This window comes from Homo sapiens, chromosome 7 (genome assembly GCF_000001405.40).
Source record: "Homo sapiens chromosome 7, GRCh38.p14 Primary Assembly".
NCBI classification, from domain to species: domain Eukaryota; kingdom Metazoa; phylum Chordata; class Mammalia; order Primates; family Hominidae; genus Homo; species Homo sapiens.
In genome coordinates, this window is record NC_000007.14 from 94,367,116 (window position 1) to 94,393,793 (window position 26,678).

At 39.5% G+C, this 26,678-nt stretch overlaps 1 long non-coding RNA gene across 1 annotated transcript; it reads right to left on the minus strand.

Annotated features, from left to right (window-relative positions):
• Nucleotides 1-96: 96 nt before the first annotated feature.
• On the minus strand, nucleotides 97-25,077 carry COL1A2-AS1 (COL1A2 antisense RNA 1). Its single transcript, NR_147206.1, has 6 exons — nucleotides 25,003-25,077; nucleotides 24,290-24,418; nucleotides 23,513-23,631; nucleotides 18,337-18,425; nucleotides 13,192-13,270; nucleotides 97-164 (listed from the first exon to the last, which is right to left on the minus strand). It is a non-coding gene; the product is annotated as a COL1A2 antisense RNA 1 (long non-coding RNA).

Below are 26,678 nucleotides of genomic sequence, written 5' to 3' on the forward strand. Positions count from 1 at the left end.
GAGCTCCCTTAATGCAAGTAAGAACACATTGCCACCATCAGACATTTAGGCTTCCTCCCTAATAGCAAGGTTTAATGTAAAAAATAAACACACCAGCCTCCATGTCCACGAAGTGCTGAAATCCTGGAGGTTGGGCTATAGAGAGTGGCCTCCTCTGACATTATCTGGAAAATAAAGAAAAATGATTTATGTCAGGAATAACCTCATTCTTCACCTTTGCTGAAAAGTAGAAAAAAAACACAAATAAATATTTTAGGTGGATATGCTACTTATACTACATGTTTATAATTTTACTTTGTAAAGGAAAATCCTGCTGTCTTTCTACTCACAAAATGCCTTAAATAGGCCAGGCATGGTGGCTCACACCTGTAATCCCAGCACTTTGGGAGGCCAAGGCCAGCAGATCACGAGGTCAGGAGATCGAGACCATCCTGGCTAACACGGTGAAACCCCATCTCTACTAAAAATAGAAAAAAAAAATTCACCGGGCATGGTGGCAGGCGCCTGTAGTCTCAGCTACTTGGGAGGCTGAGGCAGGAAAATGGCGTGAACCCGGGAAGCGGAGCTTGCAGTGAGCCGAGATCACGCCACTGCACTCCAGCCTGGGCGACAGAGTGAGACTCCATCTCAAAAAAAAAAAAAAAAAAATGCCTTAAATAATAAAGCTCTTCTCAGGAAAGTCCAATATGAGGATGGCTGTGTGTTTTAATGAAGGCTTTTGACTCCTGGGAAATATAAGAAGGAACATCCAGAAATAGTGATAATAGATTTTCTGTCTTTTAATCCTGATGGGAAAGGCTATTTTAAAGAATCTCAATTCTTAATGAAGATACACAACAGAAGACGGCACTGATTAACTGTTAAGCATTCAATTCTTTCCCAGCTATCTAGTCAGGTTTGGATTCTCTATTAAAATTCAATACTTAGGTCCACCAGTCAGGGAAGGAAGGAAAAGAATGTCTCTTGCTTCAAACTCCTAATGGCCTCCAGCTCTGCTGTGCCCAACTTTAAGTAGATTGCTTGGTTTGGCTACTTATACTGTTTTTTCTGGAAACCACTCACACTTCTTCTGAGCTGCACTCCTAAACCACTGGAAGTAGTCTCGCTGAGAAGGAATTAGAGTCCAAGTACTTTTTTTTTCTTTTACCTGTGCCTTTTGAGCACCCTGCACTTTAAAAAACAGAGAAAACAAATTTATTGACAACTCCTTACAATTATGTCCACAGAAAGATTTTGTTGTTACCCACTCCTTCTTTCCAAGTTTTACTGCGAAAGAATAAGCATTGTTAAATCCAGCTGGTGACTCCTATGGAAAAGTTTACCACAGAAACATTTGCAATCGGTTAAGACTTTGGTCCCATAATGCTTAGCAAAAGAAGCTGAAGATCATTCAGAACGGAAATGGAATTCTGTGTGCCAAGCCTTAGAGCTAAGCTTTAAAAAGTCACCCATGAACGATGTGCACTTTTCTCTTTGTTTGGTGCCTGGTGAATGGAGACAACAATGGCTTTAAGGAGATTTTTATCCATTGTATTTGTGTCTGCATCTGTATAGAACATACTGTTTCCTTGGCAGGTCACCAAGACTTGCTCACATCTGTTTCTGCTTTCATTTCTATTACCCTATTCATTTCTGGCCAGGAGTCAAAAGAGCTCTAAGTTTACAAGTGCCACGAAGGCATTTGGTTGAGGAGAATATTTTTTCTTTTATTAAACCTGTATTTCTGTTTTGATTTTTTCCTGTTTTTTACTTAATCAGGATGAATCACAATGGAATAGAGGTTTTTATGAACATTCTGGAAAATGACATTTTAAAGGTGCAATTTACAGTGATCTAAATGCTTAGAAATTTTATGTTTACCACTGAATTACAGACCATATAGAGGGGCAGCTCTTTATTGCAAAACCGTGGGCTTCAGAGTTAGGCAGAGTTAATTCTGAGTCTAGCTCTGCCACTTATTGACGATCTGGCCTGAATCCTAGGCTTTCTCATCTGTATATAGGTGATGAAAAAGAAAATTCAACATCTTTAAGTTGTTGTGGAGATTAACCATAAACGCATGCTAAATGGGGAAAGGGGGAGAACTATCAATGAAGAGTAGCTCTTATTAATACTTTGTGGCAGTAAAATGCAACTTTCTGATCATGCTCAGCAATTTTTTTTGAAAGCTTGCTGGTTATCCTCTCTATGAAATTTAATTATTATGTAGTGGTTTTTCATTAGGCCCAATAGCATGTCATCACTAATAATAATGGATGCAAAGGTTTACTGAGGCAGAGAAGTTTTATTTGCTTAGCGTAGGCAAATGGGTCCGAGGACAACACATTTATGTTTGGGGAAAAAGAAACAAATTCCTATAAAAGCCAATACCATAGTGAACATTTCAGAGAAAAATGCAACACTGGTAGATGTGAAAATAAGTCCTGATACCAGGAATAAGGGAAAACAGTGGTTATCTACTGAAAACCAGATAGTAGACCTAAATAAAATAGACAGTAAGACTAGCCAAAGGCAACTATTCTCCATCTCTCACCTCTATTCTTTAGATTATAATCAGCATTGGCTCTTAACTGAAGGAAAAAGCCAGGCCCCAGCTAGGTAAGACCAATGCCAATCTCAGTTAACCACTTGAGATGACAAATGGATTTGCCTCAGAATGTCGATTTTGTTTTGACCCTGCAATCAGTAAAATTAAGCAAGGAGACTTATGTACACACATCTAGACCAATCATAAACATAAAAGACACTGAAGTTTAAAATAAAGAATTTGAACAATATTTAAAAGACAACATTTTAAGCATTCATTTCACTTCTGGAGTCAAGTAAAGTTGAGGAAGAAATATTGTACTATTTCGATAGGATTTACTCAACCAGCTGGACTGATACACACCACATGGGTGACACTGTTTGCTGTATCGGGGGAGATGTTTATGATTCTTATCTTTAAAGCTGTGATTATTTTCCATACTTCCTAACAATTTTTCAGGTACCCCAAAGACAACCACACTCATCCATCTTTATTCTCTAAAAATGTATTTTGTTTTTTTCTCGCTTAGGTGAGGTTGACTTTCATAAAGGAAGACAGGGATTCTTGTAAACATTGGAGTCTTTTCTTTAATCAGTTTTCTTGCCTCCTATTTGGTGTCGCTTACTTCCCTCTGGGTCATTTCAATGAAATTAGACCTCACCATGCCATACCAAATAAAGGAAAAGAAAACTATGAATTAATGAAGTTTGGATAATGTAATTCTTTTAATGAAATTCAGGCTTATTGCTTTAAAGAAGCTACGGTAATTAAAACAAGACTGAGAACTGCTTCGTTGAGATTCAAATTTAATAAATAACGAAGCGAGATTTGCAATTAGAATAACAGATCAGGCACCAGCCCAAGTATTGCCAATATCTGCTTATATTGTAAATCTGCTTTTTATTCATCTATTCATTCTTTCTTTCAACACAAACTTATTGAGCATGTATTATTTTCCAGGCAGTATGCTAGATGCTAGAGATAGAGTTGTTAACAAGAGAGAATTACTTCTTTACCTGCTTTATTCTGGTATACTTGGAAAAAATTTTCCTCTAATTAACCTTTCCCTTTGTTATCTTATTTATGTTATTCAATGTTTTCATATAATCAAAAACTCACAATTAAGATTAAATTAATGAGGTTTTATTCTACTTTTTATAAGGGCAGAAACTGATCAGCAACTCTTTCTTTTTCTGCAGCTGTGTGTCTTAAAAGATTAAAAGCTATTTCAATCTGTTTCTTTTTTCCTGACAACTTGCAGAAAATGGATACTTTTTTACTAGAAATGACTAGAAATGGCAAATCTTCTCTTTATTTCTGCTATAACATTATTATAAGAGTTCAAACCAACAACAAGTTAAGAGATACAAAGTCAAGCAAATACTGCACAGTAAAAATATGGTGAAAGTAGATTTTGATGAGAAAAAAACGCTGCAACCTCCAATAGTGCATAGTAAAATAGTTGTCTCAGGAGGCAGAATGACCTAGGAAAGTTAAGCACAAGAACATAAAGCCTTATGGTGCTCAGAAGTATATCTGGCACCTCTGCAGGATACATTAACCAGAAAGAGCACAGACTTCTGGAAAAAGAACTGAGTCTAGTGGTCCCAAGCTCTGCTGGAACCTTGGGTCTGTCCCTTTACCTCTTAGGGAAACAGTTTACTGGATCAGCAATGGAGTTGAAATCAAAGCCTGATTAAATCCGATCAGGAGTTGTAACTGTGGCCAAGCCCCTTCCCTGAGGGGGTTCTTTCATCAAAATGACGAGGTCAGACTAGAAGTTTTCTAAAGGAAGCTTTGGTGTTGACATTCTTCATTTTTAAAATTAGAGTTAACCAAGAGCTGTTCCCTAGGTGAAAAATTTATTTATTTTTTTTTTCTGCATGGCACCTGTTCCACTCACTACCCTCCTATAAACTACTCCTTGTAGGACCACCCAAGCATACAGGAAAAGGTGGAAATGCCATGTTATGGGCTGGATTGTGTGCCCCCCAAAATTCCTGTGTTGAATCTTAGCCCCTAGTACCTCAGAATGTGACTTTATTTGGAGATATAGTTTTTAAAGGGTAATCAATTTAAAATGAGGTCATTAGGGTGGGCTGTAATCCAATATGATTGCTGTCTTTATAAAAAGAGGACATTTGGACACAGAGGCAGGCACAAAGGAAAGACGAAGTGAAGATGGAGGGAGAAAATGGTCAAATATAAGCCAAGGAGTGATGCCTGGAAGAGCGCTCTCCTTCACAGTCCTCAGAAGGAACCAATCCTCCCAACAACTTGATCTCAGGCTTCTAACCTCTACAACTGTGAGACAATACATTTCTGTTGTTTATGCCAGTGGTTCCCAACTCCGGGGCCAAGGTCCTTGGCCTTTAACAAGGCCACACAGCAGGAGGTAAGCCGAGGGTGAGAACATTACCGTGGCATTAGATTCTCATAAGAGCGCGAACCCTACTGTGAACTGTGCATGCGAGGGATCTGGGTTGTGCGTTCCTTATGAGAATCTAACTAGTGGCTGATGATCTGAAGTGGAACAGTTTTATCCCGAAACCATCCCCCTCCCACCCCCGTCCCTGGTGCCAAAAGGGTTGAGGACTGCTGGTTTACACGACCCACTTTGTGATACTTTGTTACAGCAGCCCTAGCAAACTAATACACTCCACTGAGCTAGTTCCAAGAAAGAAAGAACAAAAAAGAGGTCTGACAATGACAAATATCAAAATACAGTGGCTTGGATCCTAGTCTCCCTGCCCCTTCTAAAGACATACCCCAGTTTGTATGTTTTCCTTTCGTGGCATCTCCCTTTTTTCCTGTATCTCCCACTTCCCAAAGCTGCCTACAGACATATTTTAACTAGATATAAGTAGGCCAATTTGATGTAGAGGATTTATAACCTGATTTGTCACACTCACCCACCCTACTTGCCTGCCTCAGAATATTTTTTTTTTATGGCCTGACTTCCTCATAAGGGCCCCTTTTAGCTACAATATCTGTAGAAATGGATGTGGTAGGTCATCAGTGGCTTCCTAGAAATTCTGAGAAGAGGAATGGCATGATGAAAAAGGTACTCTAGGAAATGATTAGTGACCATGAAAAGGAGGATGAGAAGAAGGAAGCAGATGCTGAGAGACAAAAATTATTGTCATTTTTCAAGTAGGTGATATGACCAGGTAGTCAACAGGATTAGATTAGATCTGTGGTTCTCAAACTTGAGTGGATGTTGGAATGAGCTGGAGGGTTTGCTGAAACACAGATTGCTGGGCCAACCCTTGAAAATTCTGTTTCAGCAGATCTGGGGTAGGGACCCAGAATTCCTATATGCGTAACAGTGCCAACTCAATGATAATTGATCATGCATATCATGCAAATTCTATCTTATTTTGTCACCATATTAGCCAGGAATTAGAAGCCTCCACACCTAAAATTAAGGGAAAATATGAACTGATGCCTTCAAATCTGGCTATAGTCTTAAGAGGTGACTAACATTTCTATTCCTCCACTCTCCCCACTCCAGGTGGGAATCACTGATTTATAATTTGCAAAACCCTTACATGTGATTTTCTCTTTAAACATTTTTATTATTTTATTTTTTATATTTTTATTTTTTATTTTTCCAAAAGTTATTGGGGTACAAGTGGCATTTGGTTACATGAATAAGTTCTTTAGTGGTGATTTGTGAGACTTTAGTGCACCCATCACCCGAGCAGTATATATTACACCCTATTTGTACTCTTTTATCCCTTGTCCCCCTCCCACCCTTCCCCTCAAGTCCCCAAAGTCCATTGTATCATTCTTATGCCTTTGCGTCCTCATAGCTTAGCTCCCACATATCAGTGAGAAGAGGCATCACGCTACCTGATTTCAAACTATACTATAAGGCCATAGTCACCAAAACAGCATGGTACTGATATAAAAATAGACACATAGAACAATGGAACAGAATAGAGAACCCAGAAATAAACCCAAATACTTATAGCCAACTGATCTTTGACAAAACAAACAAAAATATAAAGTGAAGGAGGGACACCTTTCTCAATAAATGGTGCTGGGATAATTGGCTGGCCACATGTAGGAGAATGAAACTGTATCCTCATCTCTCACCTTCCATTTGACTTTCAAGAGCAATTGATGAATTCACAAATAATGGTTCTGTTCATCATTCTATTAAATAGGCTTTGAAAATATTACCCCCAATTTACAGATGAAAGAAATGATGATCAAAGGGCATTTTACCCCTCTCTCATTTCTGTTCCTGCCAAGTTTTTAACAATTTGCCCAAAAAATTAATGTCCCAACTCTGGAAGTTGCCCTTAACATATATGATGAGAACAATATCAGGCTGATCATTAAATTCACACAACTAATTTAAAGCAAAGCACCACTCAATCGGAATCCATTAAAAACAGCAAGTCAACCTTAACAGACTTCTCATTGGTAAATTATGGATTGTGCTTGAATGTTCATCCTATAGAACTGATCAAGTTTCTGGGTTTTTTTCTCTGTCCTTAGACTTCATGTTATATAAACAAGTGTCAGGGTATACATTCAGCAAGTTAGTTCCTTGTGAAATGAGGAGAAAATAAGCTTTTCATTTCTGATTTCCTTCAAGTTCATGAAGAGAAAAATCCCAAGAACTGTACTTTCTATTAAATTGAGAAGAGAGATATGTAATGAGGAAAGAATTTTGTTCAACAATAGCAGCAGTGCCACATAGCTGACCAGCTGGAGCTTTGCCTGGTGGTGGCTCCACCTCCCTCCCTTCCAGAGAGAAGCCAGCGTGGCTCAACCCCTCTCTGTGAGGGTGAGAGACGCCTTCACAGAGGGAGTTTGCCCTCAGCCCTCATCAGAGAAACCAGCCATCCTTTCTGTAGTAGAATGTATGCACTTATAAAACTTTTCTGATCTCTCTCTCTCTGTTTTCCCAACTGCTGCCTTTTAAGTCAGTTTGGTGGCTTTCACATGAGCATTTGAGTGTATTGGGTCCACCCAGGCAATCCTTGGATTTAAATGAGTTGCTTTTTATTTCCTCGGGGACTTAATTTTATTCAAAAGATGAGGGTTACACACTGACGATTTATGTGAGAGAGAGAAAGAGAGAGAGAGAGAAAGGCCATTCTGAGATCAACATTTCAACCTCTCCTTCCTGATTGCTACTTAAATCACTTATTCCAACTTGGGGAGATTGTAATATATAGTTTCTTAATGTGTTTAGTTAAGGACTTCATGAATCATGTGGATTTCTCCTCAACCTAAGTGGTTATTATGCTGACCCAAGGGTGTGCCGTTTTGCGGACACTTCATTTTTGTGTCCCTGTTTATTTGTAGCAAGCAAGCTCAGTTCTGTAAGACATTGATTAGAGGGACAATGGAAGTTGTTATCTACTGTAAGTCGCATTCAGCAAAAAGCTGCCAAGTGGTGTTCACATAATTGAAGAGGTAGAGCTTTCAGACTTGATTGTGATTTTGGGTTTGGGGCTTCCAGTTCTAACTCAGGCTCTCAATAAGGCTAAGACCACTCCTTATCTTGAATTGTTCCTTTTCAGGAACAACACTCTAACAACAAATCTTGGAGATCTCATACAAGTTGTTGCATTTAAAACCTCCTTAACTAGGACAATCTTTTCCTCAGTCTTCCTAAAGCTAACGAGCCCAAGCTGCTTCCTTTGCTTGCTGCTGGATATCAACTTTGCAAGGGATTTTACTAAGCGGAGAGAGGCTATGGGGGATGGTATTGGCAGTGAGTTACTTAGTACAACCCCAGGGCTGGGAGGGAGGGAGATGCTGTGCTTTCTTACCAGCTGTTATACTTCAAGAAGAAACAGGATTTTGTAACCCTTTCCTGGCATACCAGTCTCAAAACAAAGGCCAGACTCAGTTTTGACAAAGATTTTCTTGTGAAAATACACACAACACAACAGTATGAATGCATTCCTATCTAAATATGATTAATAAAATGTGACATTGTTTCTGTGTTTTGGATTTTCACAAGAAAGTGTGAAAACAGAGGCATTAAACAGTGTTGGTCTCATTGACATCCAAATGGCACTACTATTTGCGTCTCCCTCAAGGAAAGCCAGTCTTTTCCACTGAGGAGTAGGGAAAGAAAACACCAATCTGAAAAAGAAAAAGTGGAGGGTTGGACCTCCTCTTGGTTAAAGCCCAGAAGCGTATTCAAATGTGCTTCCCTTAAGAGTTAAGCACAGGCACCTCCCAGGAAATGACAAATGGTCCTACAGCCACAGCTCTGCTAATTTCCCTGCCCCCAATATCCAGACTTCCAGACATCAAATGGTTAGAAAAAGTGTTTAGTTTGAAAAAATTCTTGAGGTTTAGCTTGCCTCACAAATCACATTCTTTTTACCCTTTTCCCCCAGCCCAGTTTAAAAAAAAACAAAACAACAACAAAAAAAAAAAAAAAAAGAAAGGAACATGCCTTGGAATTCTGATGATAGATTTTCATAAAATTGTCCACGTTGCTTGCTGAGGCAAAAAAAAAAAAAAGGAAAGAAAAAAAAGAAAATCTATATAAAGTTACAACTTTTGTAGCTGTTGGTCTTCAATTAGAGATACTTGTCTTCTATTTTTACTTCTTTACATCTTGAATTTTTATTTTATTTTATTTTATTTTTTGATAGAGGGCCTGGGTCTATGTCCCAGGCTGGAATGCAGTGGCATGATCATGGCTCACTGCAGCCTTGACCTCCTTGGGCTCAGGTGATCCTCCCACTTCAGCCCCCTGAGAAGCTGGGTCTATAGACATGTGCCACCACACCCATCTAATCTTTTCACTTTTTATAGAGACAGGGGTCTCACTATGTTGCCCAGACTGGTCTTGAACTCCGGGGCTCAAGTAATCCTCCAGCCTCAGCCTCCCAAAGTGTTGGGATTACACATTTGTGCCACCACACCTAGCCACATCTTGAATTCTTATTGTAGTTTTCATTTTGCAATTTTTTTTCTGACAACCTAACTGCATATTAGCCCTACCCCCATAAAGATATCAACTATTTTCTGAAGCTCAAGGTCTCTGGGTATACCAAAACTCTTAAGTCAGTCTGTGAGCATTTTTTAACCTACAAATGCATGGGGCCCAGCCTCAAAATTTCTCATTCAGGCCCAGCACAGTGGCTTAAGTCTAATCTCAGCACTTTGGGAGGCCAAGGCAGGTGGATCTCTTGAGGCCGGCAGTTCGGGACCAGCCTGGCCAACATAGCAAAACCCTGTCTCTACTAAAGATTAAAAAAATTAACTGGGCATGGTGACACATGTCTGTAATTCAGGTGGCTGAGGCAAGAGAATCACTTGAACCCAGGAGGTGGAAGTTGCAGTGAGCCAAGATTGCACCACTGCACTCCAGCCTAGGCAACAGAGTGAGACTCTGTCTCCAAATAAATAAATAAATAAGTCTCACTCAGTAGTTTGATTTGGGCCTTAGAAAGCATGATTGGTTCCTCCAGTGGTTTAAATGCAGATCTGGGCTTGGAAGACACTGCTGAATAGTATACACCTACACACACACACACACACACACACACACACACAAACACACATTACTTTCCTTAATGACTACCATCCAATAAGAACAGTCATCATTAAAAGTTTTGTTTGTAATTCTATTGTAGAAGATATCCTATTTTTCCTTTACTGCTAAACTTCTTGAAAAAGTGGCCAGTCTGGCCTCACTTTTCCTACTTCTAACCCCATGGCCCACTTACGTTGGATACAATCAGGCTTCCTCCTAACAATTTCTAGATCCATAGTCAGTGACCTCATGATCATGATCTTCTTTAGTCCTCTGCTTCTTAAACACATTTTCAGCATTTAACACTTGATCATCCTCACCTTCTAGAAGCTCCCTTCTTTTTAGGATTATGAAGATCTGCTCTCCCTGGCACTCCCCCAGGTCTCTTCCTCTGGATCATCATATTCTTTCTGCTCCAAGTCTGTTTTTGGCTATTTTATGTTCCATCTCCACAAATTCTCCTCTGGCAGGCTTATTCAACCCCGCAGACTCAACTAGCATCTCCTTGCCTGTAGGCCCTCAGATCTACTTCTCTAATCCTCACTTCTTTCCCAAACTCCATTTCTCTTTATTTATTGCTTACACAATTCCTTTACCTGGCTCTTCCACTATGCCTCCAAAGTAACATATTTCAAAAAGGAATTTACATTTTCTCCTATACCCACTGTCCATCTGGTGTTTCAAGATTCTGTGAATGGTAGCTCAATACTCTCAGCTATCAAGGCTCAAAGCTACAATATCATCTCTCACTGGCTCCTATTGCTAGCCTACAACACCCAAATAGGCATTTTGCCCTGTTAATTCTTCCACAAAAATATCTCCAACTCAGTCTTCTCCTTTTTATTCCTATGTTAGACTATAAATGCTATTGTATTTCTAAAATGGGGAAGATTTTTTAAGAACTAGAGTATTCAAAGAAAGATTATAAATGCTGAAGTTGAAACTGAACAAGCCTGGAAGGACAGGTAGGGTCTAGGAAAGTCAAAGGAGGAGAGGGAAGGAACGTCTTGGGAAGATCAACACAGTTAAAGGTCCAGATGCAGGAATAAGCATGGCATGAGCTAGTACAGTGATAATTTGTTTGACTAAAGCCAAGTGTGTATAAAGCAATCTCCAAAAGTTGCTCCCTAATGAACTATGCTTCCAGGTAATAATGTCCTTGTGCAATACCATCCTCAATTTCAGTTGGCATTGTGGCTCTCTTTTTTCTACGGAATGTAGTGGAAGTGACACTGCATAACTTCCAAGGCTAAGACAGAAAAAGTCTTGCAGCTTCCTCTTTGCTGTCTTAGAACACTCTGGGAGCCAAAAAGGAAATCTTCCCGCTATGCTAGAGGTGCCTGACATAGGCATTTCAGCAAAAAGTTCCAGCTGAGCTCGGCCTTCTAGTCATCTCTGTTAAGGCAACAGACATGTGAACAAAGCCATCTTGGATCCTTTAGACCAGACCAGCTGCCATCAGGATTCTAAGAGACCTCAGTCAGTACAAATTAGAATAGAATAATTGCCCAGCTAAGCCCTACTTGAATTCTTGATCTATAAATCAGGAGATATAATAAAATTCTTGTTGTTTAAAGCCACTTATTTTTAAGGTAGTTTGTCAGGCACCAACAGATAACCAAAACACAGAGTCACAGTTTACTGAACAGTAAAAAATAATATTAAATATGTATGGTGGTTCCACATTGTGGATAGTCTTGAAAACACCAAGCAAAGAGGCTCTTCTTGCTGATATAGGATAATTGGAAGCCAGTGAAAGTTTTTGAGCAGTAAGTAACCATTGCATTTCTAGTTTGGCAGAAATATACAAAATGCATAGACATTTTGGCAGAAATACTCAAAATGCATAGATAAATGACAAATATTTGGCAATTTAATTTAGAAGACCTAGAGTTCAAACTTAGTTATATAATATTGAGAAAGTTACTAGCTTGAGCATACTACCTCAAGGAAGTGTTGTAATGGTTAAATGGGTGACATACATGACAGTGCTTTGAAAATTCATTCTAAATACACTTTAAAATAAATTCTTGTTAAACCGATGGAGGAGAAACTAGAAGCATCAGAAGCAGCTAAAAAGTTGGGACAACAATCTGGGTGTGGTATGATGCATTTCTTGATTAGGATGATTTATTTGGTCCCTTTACAGCCTTATTCTTTGTAACTTTCTGATTCACAATTTGTACTCTGGCCTTACTAACTATGAATAGTGGATTCCAAATGCCATACCTTGTACATTTTTCCTTGATTTTCGTAGTTTGAATTAATCACTCTCTCATTGGTGCCACCACTGTACATTGTACTCTATGAGGATTCCATATCATATTAAACAGTAGTTGTTGGTTTATGCATTTGTCCCTTCACTAGCACTACACTCTGAGCACCTTTGATTACCTGGCACATAGTAGGGCCTTAATGAATGTTTTTCTATTTATCTATTAGCTAGAACATTAGGGGTAGCAACATAAGAAGGACTGAAATAAGAGGCATCTTAAAGGAAAAAAAATAGAACTTCATGATTTCCTGAATTTGAAGAATGAAGACTATGGAATGATCAGAGATGATCTTGAGGTTTCAGATGTGTGCAAGTACAAGAACATTAGTGCACTAAGAGACTTGGTGGAAATAAGGATTCTGGACATAATGGAAGAATTCTGGAAAGCTGAGATATGAATATGTTGAACTGAGAAAATGGCAAAGCATCCAAATAAAAATATGGCCAAGGCAGGCAGATCACCTGAAGTCAGAAGTTCGAGACCAGCCTAGCCAACATGGTGAAACCCTGTCTCTAGTAAAAATGCAAAAAAAAATTAGTTGGGCGTGGTGGCAGGCGCCTGTAGTCCCAGCTACTCAGGAGGCTGAGGCAGGAGAATGGCATGAACCTGGGAGGCGAAGCTTGCAGTGAGCCGAGATCGCACCACTGCACTCCAGCCTGGGTGAAAGAGCGAGACTCTGCACCTGTAATCCCAGCTACTCGGGAGGCTTATGTTGCAGTGAACCAAGATCACGCCACTGCACTCCAGCCTAGGTGACAGAGCGAGAGTCTGTCTCAAAAAGAAAAAAAAATCCAGGTAGTTGTGTATATAATGCTATCATTGAGTTCATAAAACAGAAGTCAACCTTTTTTAGTTGCAGCACTTACATCAGTGATGATATTTGGTATCTTCTTGATAAAAGGTTTTCTCCAAGGGATAGTGTAGGGAGAGAGGAAGAAGTCCATCCTTAGAAACCAAGAGAAAGAAGAAGTTATAGAGAGAAACTGAAATGAGTCAGCATTAATAAAACTATCCATGACAATGTCACAGAAGCCAGCAGCTGTTGCCTGGAGTGTATTCTGCAAAGCATCCCATGTCCTCATATAAGTTCAAGTTCAGAAGTCTGCCTTTCCCCTCCTTGCTTTGTGAATGACACCATCATCCATTCAATGCTTTAAAGGAAATTTAGATACCATTCTCAATTCTTCCTTTAACCCTGATATTCTATCAATAAATACTATGAAGCTATCTCTTAAATATAATTCTTACCCTCTTTCTACTGCTCAACCTACTACCACCATGTTTCATGATGCAACTGCTCCTTAGCTGACTGTCTCCAATATTAGCTCTCCATAATCCAGCCTTCCCACTGCCAGAATAAGTGTTCTAAACCACGAATCACACCAAGAAGTGTCCTACAGAGAATCCCTCAATGATTCCTCATTTCTAACAATATATACCGCTGCCTCTATGATTTGAGTGCTGGTGCCTACTCCCTCTTTTCTGATTCTTTCCCTCAGGCAGTCCATGTTGCAGCCATAGGAAATTATGTGCAGGTATTTCAAACACAGCATGCCTAAAAGGGAATTCACCATATTTTAAAGCCCTCAAGTTCTGCCAGGATTCTCTGTCTCAGAAACGTTACCACAAGGCAGAAACCTGGTAGTCATATTTAATTCCTTTCTTTTCCTGATTCTCACATCCCAAATTCACCTAATTCTCTTCATCCTCAATGTTATCATCCCCACATCCTACCACAATTCATCTATCATCATGAAGATTCTCTTACGTTCCTCTTACCTGCTCCAATCCATTCTCTAGACCGCAGAGTTATGTTTCTAAACACACATCTGATCAGAATTAGAATTACAGCAAGGTTAGAGTTAATATTCGGGTTAGGATTTAACACTTTCAGAGAGTTCTCATTGTTGTTAGAATAAATTTCTAACATGCCTTTCAAGGCCCTCCCTAATTATCCTCTGAATAACTTGGAACGTACTTGCATTAATTCAACCCCTATCTCACTCATCTTGCTTCCTTCCACTAACTTGTACCCATTTATCATGAACTCAATGTTTGTGTCCCTCCAAAATTTATCTGTTGAAGCTCCCAATGTGATGCTATTTGAAAGTGGGGCCTTTGAAAGGTAATTATGTTTACATGGTGTCATGAAGATAGGGACCCCACGATGGGATTAGTGTCCCTGTAAGAAGAGGCACCAGAGTGCTTTCTCTCTCTCTCTCTCTCTCTCTCTCTCTCTCTTTCTCTTTCTCTTTCTCTGCCATGTAAAGACAGTCCTCACGGGCAACTAAACTTGCTGGCACCCTGATCTTAGACTTCCTAGCCTTCATTGCTGTGACAAATAAATGTTGTTTACGCCAACCAGTCTATTTAGTTACAGCAGTCCGAGCTATGACACCATTGTAGTTCTGAGTTTGTCATTTCCTTAGAGTCCTTCTCTATGTCCCATAGCTAGATCAGGACCTCTGCTTTGTATTCCCATAGCACCCTACATATTTCCCATAAGATGTTTCATCACAGTTTATTCTGTAGACTTCTCTAATGCCTATCTGTTCTGCAGGAATCCTCTTGCCTTAGGTTCCCAAATCCCATCACAGTGACTGAGACATAGTAGATATAAAATACATAGTTAATAAATGAGTGAACCATCTGATTGAACCATGAAGCCATGATTTTGCATATTCCTCTTTACTTCCTGGAGTGCCAGCCCAACAAATCCTCACCCATCAAGATTGATCTTCTGTTCTTGGTGATCCATCTTAATATTCTCAGGCAAAGCTAGAAGCCTTATTTCTGTTTTCCCACGGAAAGACTTCTATCACTAATCTTTTTCACATTATTTATCTCTCACGCATGCCCACTAAATCACGAGCAACTTGAAGGCAATTGTCATCTAAAGCATCCTTCTATCCTCACTGCCTATGATTCAATACATAGTTGCTGAATGAATGAGAAATGATTCACATGTCAGCTTCTTAAAAACTGGAATTATATATGCTGATATCTTCCATACCTGGGTAATGGTTACATAAAAAGTCTTGTTGATAGCAATACAAACTAAGGTTTTAATAAATATTCAAAGGCAAGTACATATACACACACATATACAAATCCTGCTTCTCCTCCTGTCTTCCTCATCCCAAGTAACAATACCAACACCCACTTAGTAGCCCAAGCCAGAACTCTCACCTCCATTTTCCATATTTAATTGATCACCAAGTCCTATGAATTCTAGGTCCTAAATATCTCTCTCCTTCTCTCTGTCTTCATGGCTTCAGCTTTAGGTTAGGCCCTCATCATCCATTGGCCTGCACTGTTAATTGTACCCCAAGTACTAACATACATATTGCTCTTTCTCAAACACGACTTCTCTTTCATGCCTCTCTTCACTTAGCAAAAGTTAAATGAGTACCAACACTGACTGTAACCATGATAGGTTTTATGACACAGTAGTGAATAAGACAGGCAAGATTCCAGCCCTTGTGGGACTTACCTTATAGAGCAGTGGCAATATTGACATTTGAGATGAGTAAGTCTTTGTTATGGCTCTGTCCCATGTACAATAGAATGTTTAGCAGCACCCCTGGCCTCTATCCACTAAATGCTAGTAGGATACACCCCTGTTCCCAGTTAATGACAGTCAAAAATGTCTCCAGACACTGCCAAACATCCCCTGGGGGACAAATCACCTCAGATTGAGAATCACTGTTCTAGAGGGAGATTATGATAACATTAATTATGTAAGTACAAATTATGATAAATGTCACCTCCCACTACAAATATTATATCATCTTGTCTAGAAAAGGTTTTCCTTTCCTTTCTTTTTTGGTGAATTTCTCCAGGATTCACTTCCAATGTTCCCTTCTCCTGGAAGCCTCGTCAACTTCCCCAAGCAGAACAAGTGACTTTTTAACTCCCTTAGACCTTGTTAATACATTGTTCACTGCATTAAGGAAAAATATCTTTGTTTTAAAGAGCTAATGCATTATTTTCTCAGGTAAGTTATAGTAACCTCTACCCATGCATGAATTGTCCCTATATCAAATTTTAATAAACAAGGTATTTCAGTATATGCAGTTTATTTTTGTATACTTTTTCTCAACCACAAGAATTTTAGTTCCAGTATATAAGAATTATGAGTTACTCCTTTTGGGGATAATTAGAAAAAGAGGAAATTGGGTGATGGGAATAAAAAATAAAGGAAGGCAGATGGCATGACAGTAACAGAGGTTTTTGCCTTGAGGCTTTAGCAAATTAGGGAATCTGAGGAGACGTCAACCAGGACCTTAAAACGGAACTCCCACAGTTGCAAGGAAGGAGGGAAGTGGTATTTGTGTAAGAGGGGCCTGATGGCATGTACTTTGGGGAGTTATCTCTGGGATTGAGGATGCAGAAGTCAACAATTCCAAATCATCAAATCAGAAAGGCATTGCACATTTGGATGGAGAATCAAATTCAGGGGGAAAGATCTTTCACATGTATATTACTTTGGCAAAGCAAAGCAAATTTATGGGCATTTTATTGAAATAGCAGAGGAGAAAGGCCCTGAGAAATTTCACCTGAGCAAGAGATGATAAATGGAAAGCAGTTGTACTATAACCATTATTATTAATTTAAGATGTGAAAAATGTTACCGATATTCTTTGTTTAGCATGCTGTTCTGATGGTTCTATTTTAGAGATAATACAAAGAAGATTTATGCAAGTTTGCATTTAATCCCCCTAAAATCTTAAATACCTCCAACTGCAATATCTTGTTATCCTCACAATTAGGGAGAATCTACTCTATCTGTAACAGTCTCCTGAGACTGGAATTTCTATCTTATTCCTTTTTCTATTCCCACATCTACACTGGGCACATAATAAGAACTTAATCATTATTTGTTGAACATATAATTCAAAATAAGATGCGGCAGGAGGAATTGGCAAAACCTATCCTATTCTCTCAGATGGAGATTCTGAGAGCAAAGTGAAGATTGGGAGCAGGCAGAGCAGAAATGCACTCAGCTGCAGACAATAAGCCAGAATGGCCATCAGAGAGGTCCTGCACGAAGGAATGCAGCTGCCGCAACAAGTGTAGGACTGTAGAGTCCTGGGGAAGCACTATTGGAGATCCAGGCAGTTAGGTCTGCAACAGTAACTGACACGAATATACAGACATGGCACTGAAATTTAGGAGCAGAACTCCAGCCTCCAGGGTGTAAGGAAGGGGTAATAAATGGCTGGTTGCCAAGATCATAGCTCAGGCCCAATTTTTTTTCTTTCTTTCTTTATTTTCTCTCTCCCTTTTTTCTTTTCTTGAGACAAGATCTTGCTCTGTCACCCAGGCTGGAGTGCAGTGGCATAATCTCAGCTCACTGCAGCCTGACCTCCTGGCTCAACTGACCCTCCCACATCAGCCACCTGAGTAGCTCAGATCACAGGCGCACACTACTATGCCTAATTTTTATGTTTTTACTTTTTGTAGAGACAAGGTCTTTCTATGTTGCCCAGTCTGACCTCAAACTCAGGCTCAAGCAATCCTCCCATCAGGCCGAGTTTCTAACATTGTGTCTTACACAGACAGTAGTAGTTTTGTTGAATGAAGGAAGGAAGGAAGGAGTGAATAGAGTGATTGATTTTTACCAATAATAGAGGAACCAGGCACATTATCAAAAGAGAAACTCAAGTGCAAGAAAACGAGATAGATGATATAAGAATGGACATACAATTTCGTCTGGTTTCAGAAATACGCAGCCCAGACAAAAGAACAGAGCCCCAGAGAGAAATACGATAAACAATGCTTAGAAAAGGCTAGAACAGCTTCTTAAATTTATCCTATACAACAGGTCCTGTTCCAAGTCTGGGCAGGAGTATGTCTGCTGGTGTGCATAAATGGCCGCAGTTGTAAAATGAGGTCCCTGTCAGAAAACCCAACAGGGACTCACAGACATGAACAATGACTTACGTGACTGTTTTAGTCCAGCATGTTGCACATTCTGAAGTTCTGAATAGGAAGATCTATTCGCTTACCTACTCTCCTGGGTACTTCAGAAGGAAAGTCCATTTTTCAAGGCTCCAAAGTGTCATTTTTATTCAAGTATCAAAACGTGACACAGAAACTACAGGGAATAGAAGCATATGTCAATGTGTAAATACAATCACCTGGGCCTCTGGAGGCATTTTTCTAGGAGGAGTAATGAATTTACAGTAAAGTATGCATCTTTTTTGCCTCACCTGATCTGCTTAATTACCAAGAGAATGGCACTCCAAGTCCACAGAGTGGTGAATTCCAAGATACTGTAACTGGGAGAAGTTAATTGGTCCATAGAGGAACTGAGGCTACAGCCCAGACTTCATTAGCACCAGGTTTTAACCATTACTCAAATCACATTCAGGTTTTTACCATTACTCAAATCACATTCAGCTTTCTTGAAGAGTTCATGTATACCCTTCAGTACACATTTTTTCACTGTAAATTTGTTAACTAAATAACTTTAAGTAGAGTTAGGATGAGCAAAGAAAAGGATTAAAATTCTTCCTATCATGCTACAAATACTGTAATAAAGAATAATTAATAGGCTTCCAGAATGTCCAGCTACCCATCTCTTTGTACCAAGGAGAATCAAGAAAAGAAGGGGCCTAGACAGGCAAGGGGAGACGTTGGCAATGGGTACAAAGTTCCTGTTAGACAGAAGGAATGAGTCTTTGTGATCTACTGCACAGCATGGTGACTACAGTTAATGATAACGTATTGTATACTTCAAAGGAGCTTAAAAAAGAGGATTTGTTCATGTTCTCGCCAGAAAGAAATAATAAATATTTGAAGTGATAAATATGTTAATTAGCCTTATTTGATTATTCCAAATGTATACATGTATTGAAAGATCACATTGTGCCCCATAAATATATACAATTATTATTGGTCAACTAGAAATAACATAGAATAAAAGTAGTAAGTCAACAGACATATTAAAGAGAGAGCAAAAAAATGTGAAGGAGGCTTTTTGGAGTGAAGGAGAAGAGAGAAAAGAAGTTATCTTCATAACTGGACTTCCAGGTTTCCATCTTGCCCTACTTTAATCTATTCTCCATGAGGCTATCAAAGTAATTTATCTAAATCCAACTTTAACCATAACAGTCACATTCCTCAACACTAGTAGTTCCTAACTGCCGCATGATCAGAATTACCTAGAGGGCTTGTTAACCCACAGATTGCTGAGAAGCCACACCCAGAGTTTCTGATTCAGTGGATCTGAGATAAGGCATGAGAATTTGTGTTTCTTACAAGTTCTAAGGTGATGCTAATGTTATTATCCAGGGACCACGCTTTGAGAACCAGTGACCTGGAGAAAGTCTTTAACTTTGAGCTTCAATTTTCTCCTTGTGAAATAATTTTCCCCTTGTAAAACTCTTCAGATTGTTGTGTTAAATATTGAAAAATATTCCAGACAAATGCTAGATTTTATTTTAATTTAAAAGAAGGAGCAAGAGGCTTGCAGTCAAGAGGCCAGTCCCCTAGTTACAGGTCTACCATAAGCTGACTAGTCAAATAACCTCTCTAGTCATGTTTTCTCATTTGTAAAAGGAATTAATTCATGCAACTAGCACTTATTGAATACCTGTTGTATACCAGACACTTGTCAGACAATAGAAATATGGTAGAAAAACAAATCTTGCTTCCACACATTTATAATTATGATTATGTTTTGGATGATGTTTAAATTATCTTCCAACTCTCAGTTATTTCATGACTTTATAATTAATAAAATGAGCTTTTTCCTATTCTTATGGTATTTTGTTCCTCATAAATTTGACTTAAATGTTTATGAGCTATTAGGGATGGCTATTGGGTGAACTGCCTAAAATACATTTATGTGTTAAGTACATTTCATGTGTTGATTGCCATTATATCAATAAAAGAAAATTTTTAATGTATGGGTTAAATAGTAAATCATCAGTGAAGTAAATAACCAGTATTTATATTTATGTTCCTTATTTTCCAGCTATGTCATGCCAAATCAGTTGTTTATTGGGTAAATATTTGTTGAGCATCTATAAGTCAGCAGGCACTATGCCAGGATCTAGTGATAGAAGGGTAAATGAAATTGGCATTGTGTCTGCTATAAAAGACCTCACATTCAAGTGAAGCTAGTCAATGAATAATTAGCACTTTTAATTAATTAACCAACCAGTCTTGTGGTAGATATTAGGTATTAGAAGTACAAGGCATTTTGAAAATGTACAACAAAAGGACTTGGCCCATTCTAGGATATCTAGGAAGCCTTAGACAAGTCACTTCAGCTTTCTGAGCCTCAATTGTCTTGTAAAATTGAAAAAAAGTAATAAAACACACCCCTTAAGATGCAGATAATGATTGTTGGCACTTTGAGATAATTTATTTAAAATTCCCGCCACAGTACTTAGCACACTATATAACAGGTAGTTATGACATCACATTAACTAACTGAAAGATTATTCACACAAAGAATTCCAATGGTCAAAATCAAATTTTAAAGGGTTTATCAGGGCCAGGCGTGGTGGCTCATGTAATCCCAGTACTTTGGGAGGTCGAGGCAGGCGGATCACTTGAGGTGAGGAGTTTGAAACCAGCCTGGTCCCACATGGCAAAAGCCTATCTCTACTAAAAATACAAAAAAAATTAGCCGGGCATGGTGGCGGGTGCCTGTAATCCCAGCTACTCAGTAGGCTGAGACACAAGAATTGCTTGGACCCTGGGGACAGAGGTTGCAGTAAGCCAAGTTCATGCCACTGCACTACAGCCTGGGCAACAGAGCGGGACTCCATCTCAGAAAAAAAAAAAAAAAAAGTTTAACGGTAATACCAATAACTTAATTTGCCAGTTTTAAAAAATAAAATATAAACTGTATTAATTGCACATATAGTATCACACAGAATTAAGTCTTTATAATTGTTTTTCTATATGTAATATATGAACCAAAGACAGATCATGGATGAATTAATCAATTATCAACACCCAGACTCTTTCTTGCAACTGGAAGTAAATGTCTCCTTATTTCTTTCAGCTACTTGAAAAGAATTGAAAAATATGAGTCTGGAAGCCAAGCCAACCAAAGTTCTAATAAACCAGGTGGACTTTTGGAATGCATCAACATTCTGGTGTTTTTCAACTTAAGGATGGATTTGGAACTGGCTGCAGAAATGTAATCAGCATCTTCTCAAAGAAAAAGGCAGACTTAACTGAAAGTTGAAATTTGTGTGCCCAAATACATCCCTCTGAATTATGGGGCTTGGAATAGTCAATAACAAGATACCACAAAACAACTATCTCTATACAATCTGTATAAAAGAATACTCAGAATCATGTGTAAGTAAAGAAGTGGTTACCTATTTCATATTTCTAAACTTGAAAAATGGGGCACTGGAGATTAAACTGGGATTCATGAAATATGAGATAAATCGACTCTGTCTACACATTGTAAAAGAAGCTCATGAGAAAAATTGATGATTCACTAACAAGTTAGGAAGAAAAAATCCATACACACTTAAATGTTCCTTGCTTCAATACTAAAAAGCAAAGGAAGAGGGGCATAACATAGAAAACCTAAAGAATATTTTAGTGGAAGGCTTTAAAATGGGGGTGAGTGTTAAAATTAAGCAGCTGCTTCAAATGATCTTATTCTAAACATGCATAATCCTCTTGCATAGTAATCCTAACATCATCTTTAAACTCTATCCAGCTCCTTCTGGACTCCTGTTATAGCTAAAATTCCACACCACATGTGTTTATTACCTCACCTTTCCCTCTTCCACTTTCGCTCACCTGGATTTTGTTCCACTGAAACCACTGTTACGAAAGTCACCAGTGACTTCCAAGGTGCTAATTTATGTAATCTTTTTAGCCTTTTCTGGACCTCTCAGAAAAACATGAAACTTTCCAGCACCCTAAAAAACTATTCTTTCCTCCCTGCAAAGTGTGTTTTCTTTCCTTCTGTGATGGGGACATTACGGCTTTTCCCCATCCAAAGTGGCTGCTCCTTCTCAGTTGCCTTGATGATTTTCCTCTTCTGTTCATTCTTTAACATTGGAGCTCTTCAGAGTTTTGTCCTATGTTTGATTGTTTTCTACTTTCACACACACATATAATCTGGGAGATTTCATCACTCCCATGACATCAGTCATCTGATGACTCCTTTATCCATAAGTCAAGGCCAAATAGAGATTGTGGACTTGAGGCCTAAGTATCTAATTATCTATGAGACTTCTCCTCTTAGGTGGCCCACAATCACCCAAAATTGAACATGAATTGGCCTCTTTATCCTCCCCTCCCCACCCCAAGCTATCTCCTCCTCAAATGTTCCCCAAGTCACTGGATGGCACCTCCAGTCATCCAGTTGCCAAAGCCAGAAACTGGCAGTGCTCCTTAAGTCATCCCCTTGAATTCTTCCTCTCTCTCTCTCTCCCCATTACCAAACATCAGAGCACTTTTCTTCTACTTCTGAAACATTTCTATAGCTCATCAACTTCTCTTGAGCTCCACCACATCTATCCTAGTTCAGGCCACCATCATTTCCCCTCAGAATTCCTGCTGCAGTCTCCTTACTGTTCTCCCTGTCTCTACTGTGCTCCCCTTCTAATCGTTTCTCCACACTGCAGCCCCAGTCATCTTATTCAAAACACTCTCTGGTTTCCTACCCTCTCTGTTTAAAATAATCTAAACACTCCCATAGCACACTTGAGAAAACACAAACACCAGAATACAGCCTAAAAGGTCCTTTTTGATCTGGTCCCTGCCAAAACCACCAATCTCATCTCTAGCTCCTTCCTCTATCCTCCCTCTTTTCCACCACAATCCCATCGTACTGAAATGCTCCATTCCTCAGATTGCCAAATTTTTCAATGCCTCTGTGCCCACACCACTCTCACACCTCTTTTTAAAATTTTGTTTGTATTTAAGGGTTGAACAAGGATGTTGCATCCTCCAGGAAGCCCTCCTTGATTCCACTTATCTGAATCTAGATGAGGTGTCCATCCTAAATCCTCCCATAAACATGTAAGCATTCTATTCCTCCATTACAGTATTCATCACACTCTTCTCTATCCTCCAACAGACTATAAGCCCCCTGAGGGCAATGACCTTGGCATTCTGTTTCATAATTATATACCCACCAACCCAGTAAGTGCCTGGCATAACACTAAATATTGCTTGAGTAAACATACATCTTACCAGCTGGGCGAGGTGGCTCATGCCTGTAATCCTAGCACTTTGGGAGGCCGAGGTGGGTGGATCACCTGAGGTCAAGAGTTCCAGACTAGCCTGGCAAACATGGTGAAGCCTCCTCTCTACTGAAAAATAGAAAAATTAGCCAGGGGTGGTTGTGGACACCTGTAATCCCAGCTACTTGGGAGGCTGAGGCAGGAGAATCGCTTGAACCCAAGAGGCAGAGGTTGCAGTGAGCTGAGATCGTGTCATTGCACTCCAGCCTGAGCAACAGAGCAAAAACTCTGTCTCAAAAAAAAAAAAATATATATATATATATCTTGACTCATTTAAATAATCAATGGGAACTGAATATCCTAATTGATATGACACAGAGCAGGAATCTCCATGCCTTTCAAACAAATATCACAGAAAGAAATCAGCCCTTGCTGGGCACAGTGGCTCACACCTGTAATCCAAGCACTTTAAGAGGCAGAGGCAGGTGGATCACTTGAGCTCAGTTGGAGTTTAAGAAAAGCCTAGGCAACATGGTGAAACCTCATCTCTACAAAGAATACAAAAAATTAGCCTGGCATGGTGGCATGCACCTGTAGTCCCATCCACTAGGGAGGCTGGGGCAAGAGGATCACGTGAATCCAGGAATTCGAGGCTGCAGTGCCCCCAGATCATACTACTGCACTCCAGCCTGGGTGATAAAGTGAGACCTTCTCAATAAATAAATAAATACAAAATTAAAAACCAGCACTTAACTCTTCAGCTACCACATTAATTCTCAGCAAATACCTTCTTAGCAGTCGTTTGACAATCAAGTCAACTAGAACTGGAACTAGAATGAGATAACATGGTATTGCTTCTTCTCACAGAGTAGATCCTCAATGAATGTTTGAAAGGAGATGTCAGTCCGATGTTTACCTTTGATCAAAGAAAGGAATATAAGATTAAGACATCAGGGCCTCGTCAGGCTGTTCTGCATTTCTGTATTAGCCAGACTCTCAACCATTTTCTTGCCATATATAAACATGTGGCCCAGTTTGTAATCAGTGGGTTATAGGAAGCTAAAGAAATTATCTTTTCTTTCATAGAAAATAATTTGGGCATAGGAACCCAGGTATTAACCGTCTAGCACCAAAGTTGTAGGAATCTTTAGTCTCCTCTGCCTCCCTTCTTCCATCCCTCTACTCTCAGTCTTGACCCCACCCCACCCCTTACTTGTTTTTCCTTCTACTCATTTTCTCCTCCCTCCCTCTCCCCTCTCCCCACACTAGAACCATCAGGGCCCTCACCAGGGCATTCAGTTCAGGTTCTGGGTCAGCTCTCACAGCTCTACCAGTCCCACCCCCATCCCCAGGAAAAACTGCTCCTTATTTGGAGTCACAAAAATATTTAACAGAGATCTAACTGACCACTAAAAATTCCTCCTTTAAAACAAACACCTAATCAACTATTTTCCCCCAAGTTATATGGAAAAACAGCTGCAATTAGAACTTGATTCTCACTTTAAGAAAGAAAGATTCTTGTTTGGTTTTCTCCACTTTCATTTTTTGTTTCTAGGTCCAGGGCCTCCCACCAAATGCTGACGGCTGCCTGCTTCAAACCCTGCCACATCAGCAGGGAGGGAGCACAGCGGCATTTGGTATTTGCATCAGTTTCCAGGAATGCTTTTCAAGTTATCAGTTCACTCTGCTGCCTTTAGCAGAGACGTTTTCCCTCTAAGTTTATAGATGTCTGCTTCAATTTACAGTCCTCTAATTCTCAAAAACTTGCTGAGGATTTTTCTTTTTTGGCTAAAAGAGAAATTATAATCACACTTCTAAAAACATTCTATGTTTTAAACTATTTTGACAACAACAACAAAACCTACAATGAAATGTTTAAAACTTGGGATATCTATTGCAAATCCAATGATTGAGCCAACTTGACCCCAGAAGCGTTATCAGATAACCTCACTGAAGGGTATTTGGAGGGTTTCTTTCATAAATCTGTTGCATTACCACCCTGAGTCATTTTGCTCAGAATTAGTCTCTGACTCTCAGCAACACAGGACAAATACACACATATGCCCTGCAAAGGTAATTCAGCACAGTGGTAACAATGATTCTTAGAAATCATTTCTCACTCTTCTGATATGCAGAAAAAAATTTGTTATGATGTAGTATTGAAGTTTTTCTTTCCTGATAAAAATGATTTCCACTTTAAAAGTTTTTTGTTAGTTCTGTAACGGTGATATTTCAGGGAAATGTTAAAAATGTTCTTGGAATATACAATTCAACCTCAGGTCTTTTGTTGTTGTTGTTCCTAGAACCTAGAAAACTTCAAACATTGTTGCCTAGTTAGAAAAAAATTTGAATGTGGATTGCTCCCTGTAAACCCCCTTCTAGGAATGACCAGTAACCCTTTCAAATTCTTTCACTCCCAGTTACTTCAAAAAATCATCCAAAGTGGTCTCCCAAGTGAGTGCCTTTAATTAGAATAAAACAAGAGTTTATTATAGTTTTTGGTTATCCACTTTTACTTGCATTAACCTTTTTTTCTTCTTTTACATTTAGAAAGAGTAACCTGCTTTAGAATAGTCCCTTTTATTTACAGAAGCTGCTGATGGAGTTAACTTCTGCAGAAATTCTTCCTTAAGGCAAAGCAAAAAAAGCGGGGAGGGGGTGGGGGGAAGGAAGGGAAAAAGATTCTCAGGGAACTACAGCCCACTTGCTTCTGTTTCTTAGAGACAGAACTGACCTAAAGATGCCCCCTTTGCGATGACTTCTGGGATAGAGCAGCACTCTAACTAGGCCCCCGCTGCCTCATGGGGACCTTAGGCAAGTAGAGGAGAGGCCTGACACACACACACACACACACACACACACGCACACGCGCGCGCGCGCACACACACACACACAGCCTTTCAAACCTAGGGCCTGGAATGCCATCCCAAGAGGCTTTAGAAAAAGGCACAGGACCTTTGGCCTCCCACCTCAGGGTCAAAGTACCAGTTCCTCCTCTCCCTAGTAGGGAGTGGAGGGTTGGATGGAGGCGGCCAGAGAAGAGGGAAGTTGGGTGCTGGGGAGAGAGTTAACATCCACGTTGGTGGGCGCACTGCTTGGGGTGTTACCAGCGAAGACTACGAAGACCCCAAGCTCGAATCAGAAGGGCCTCTGGATGTGCTAGGGGAGGTGCTTGG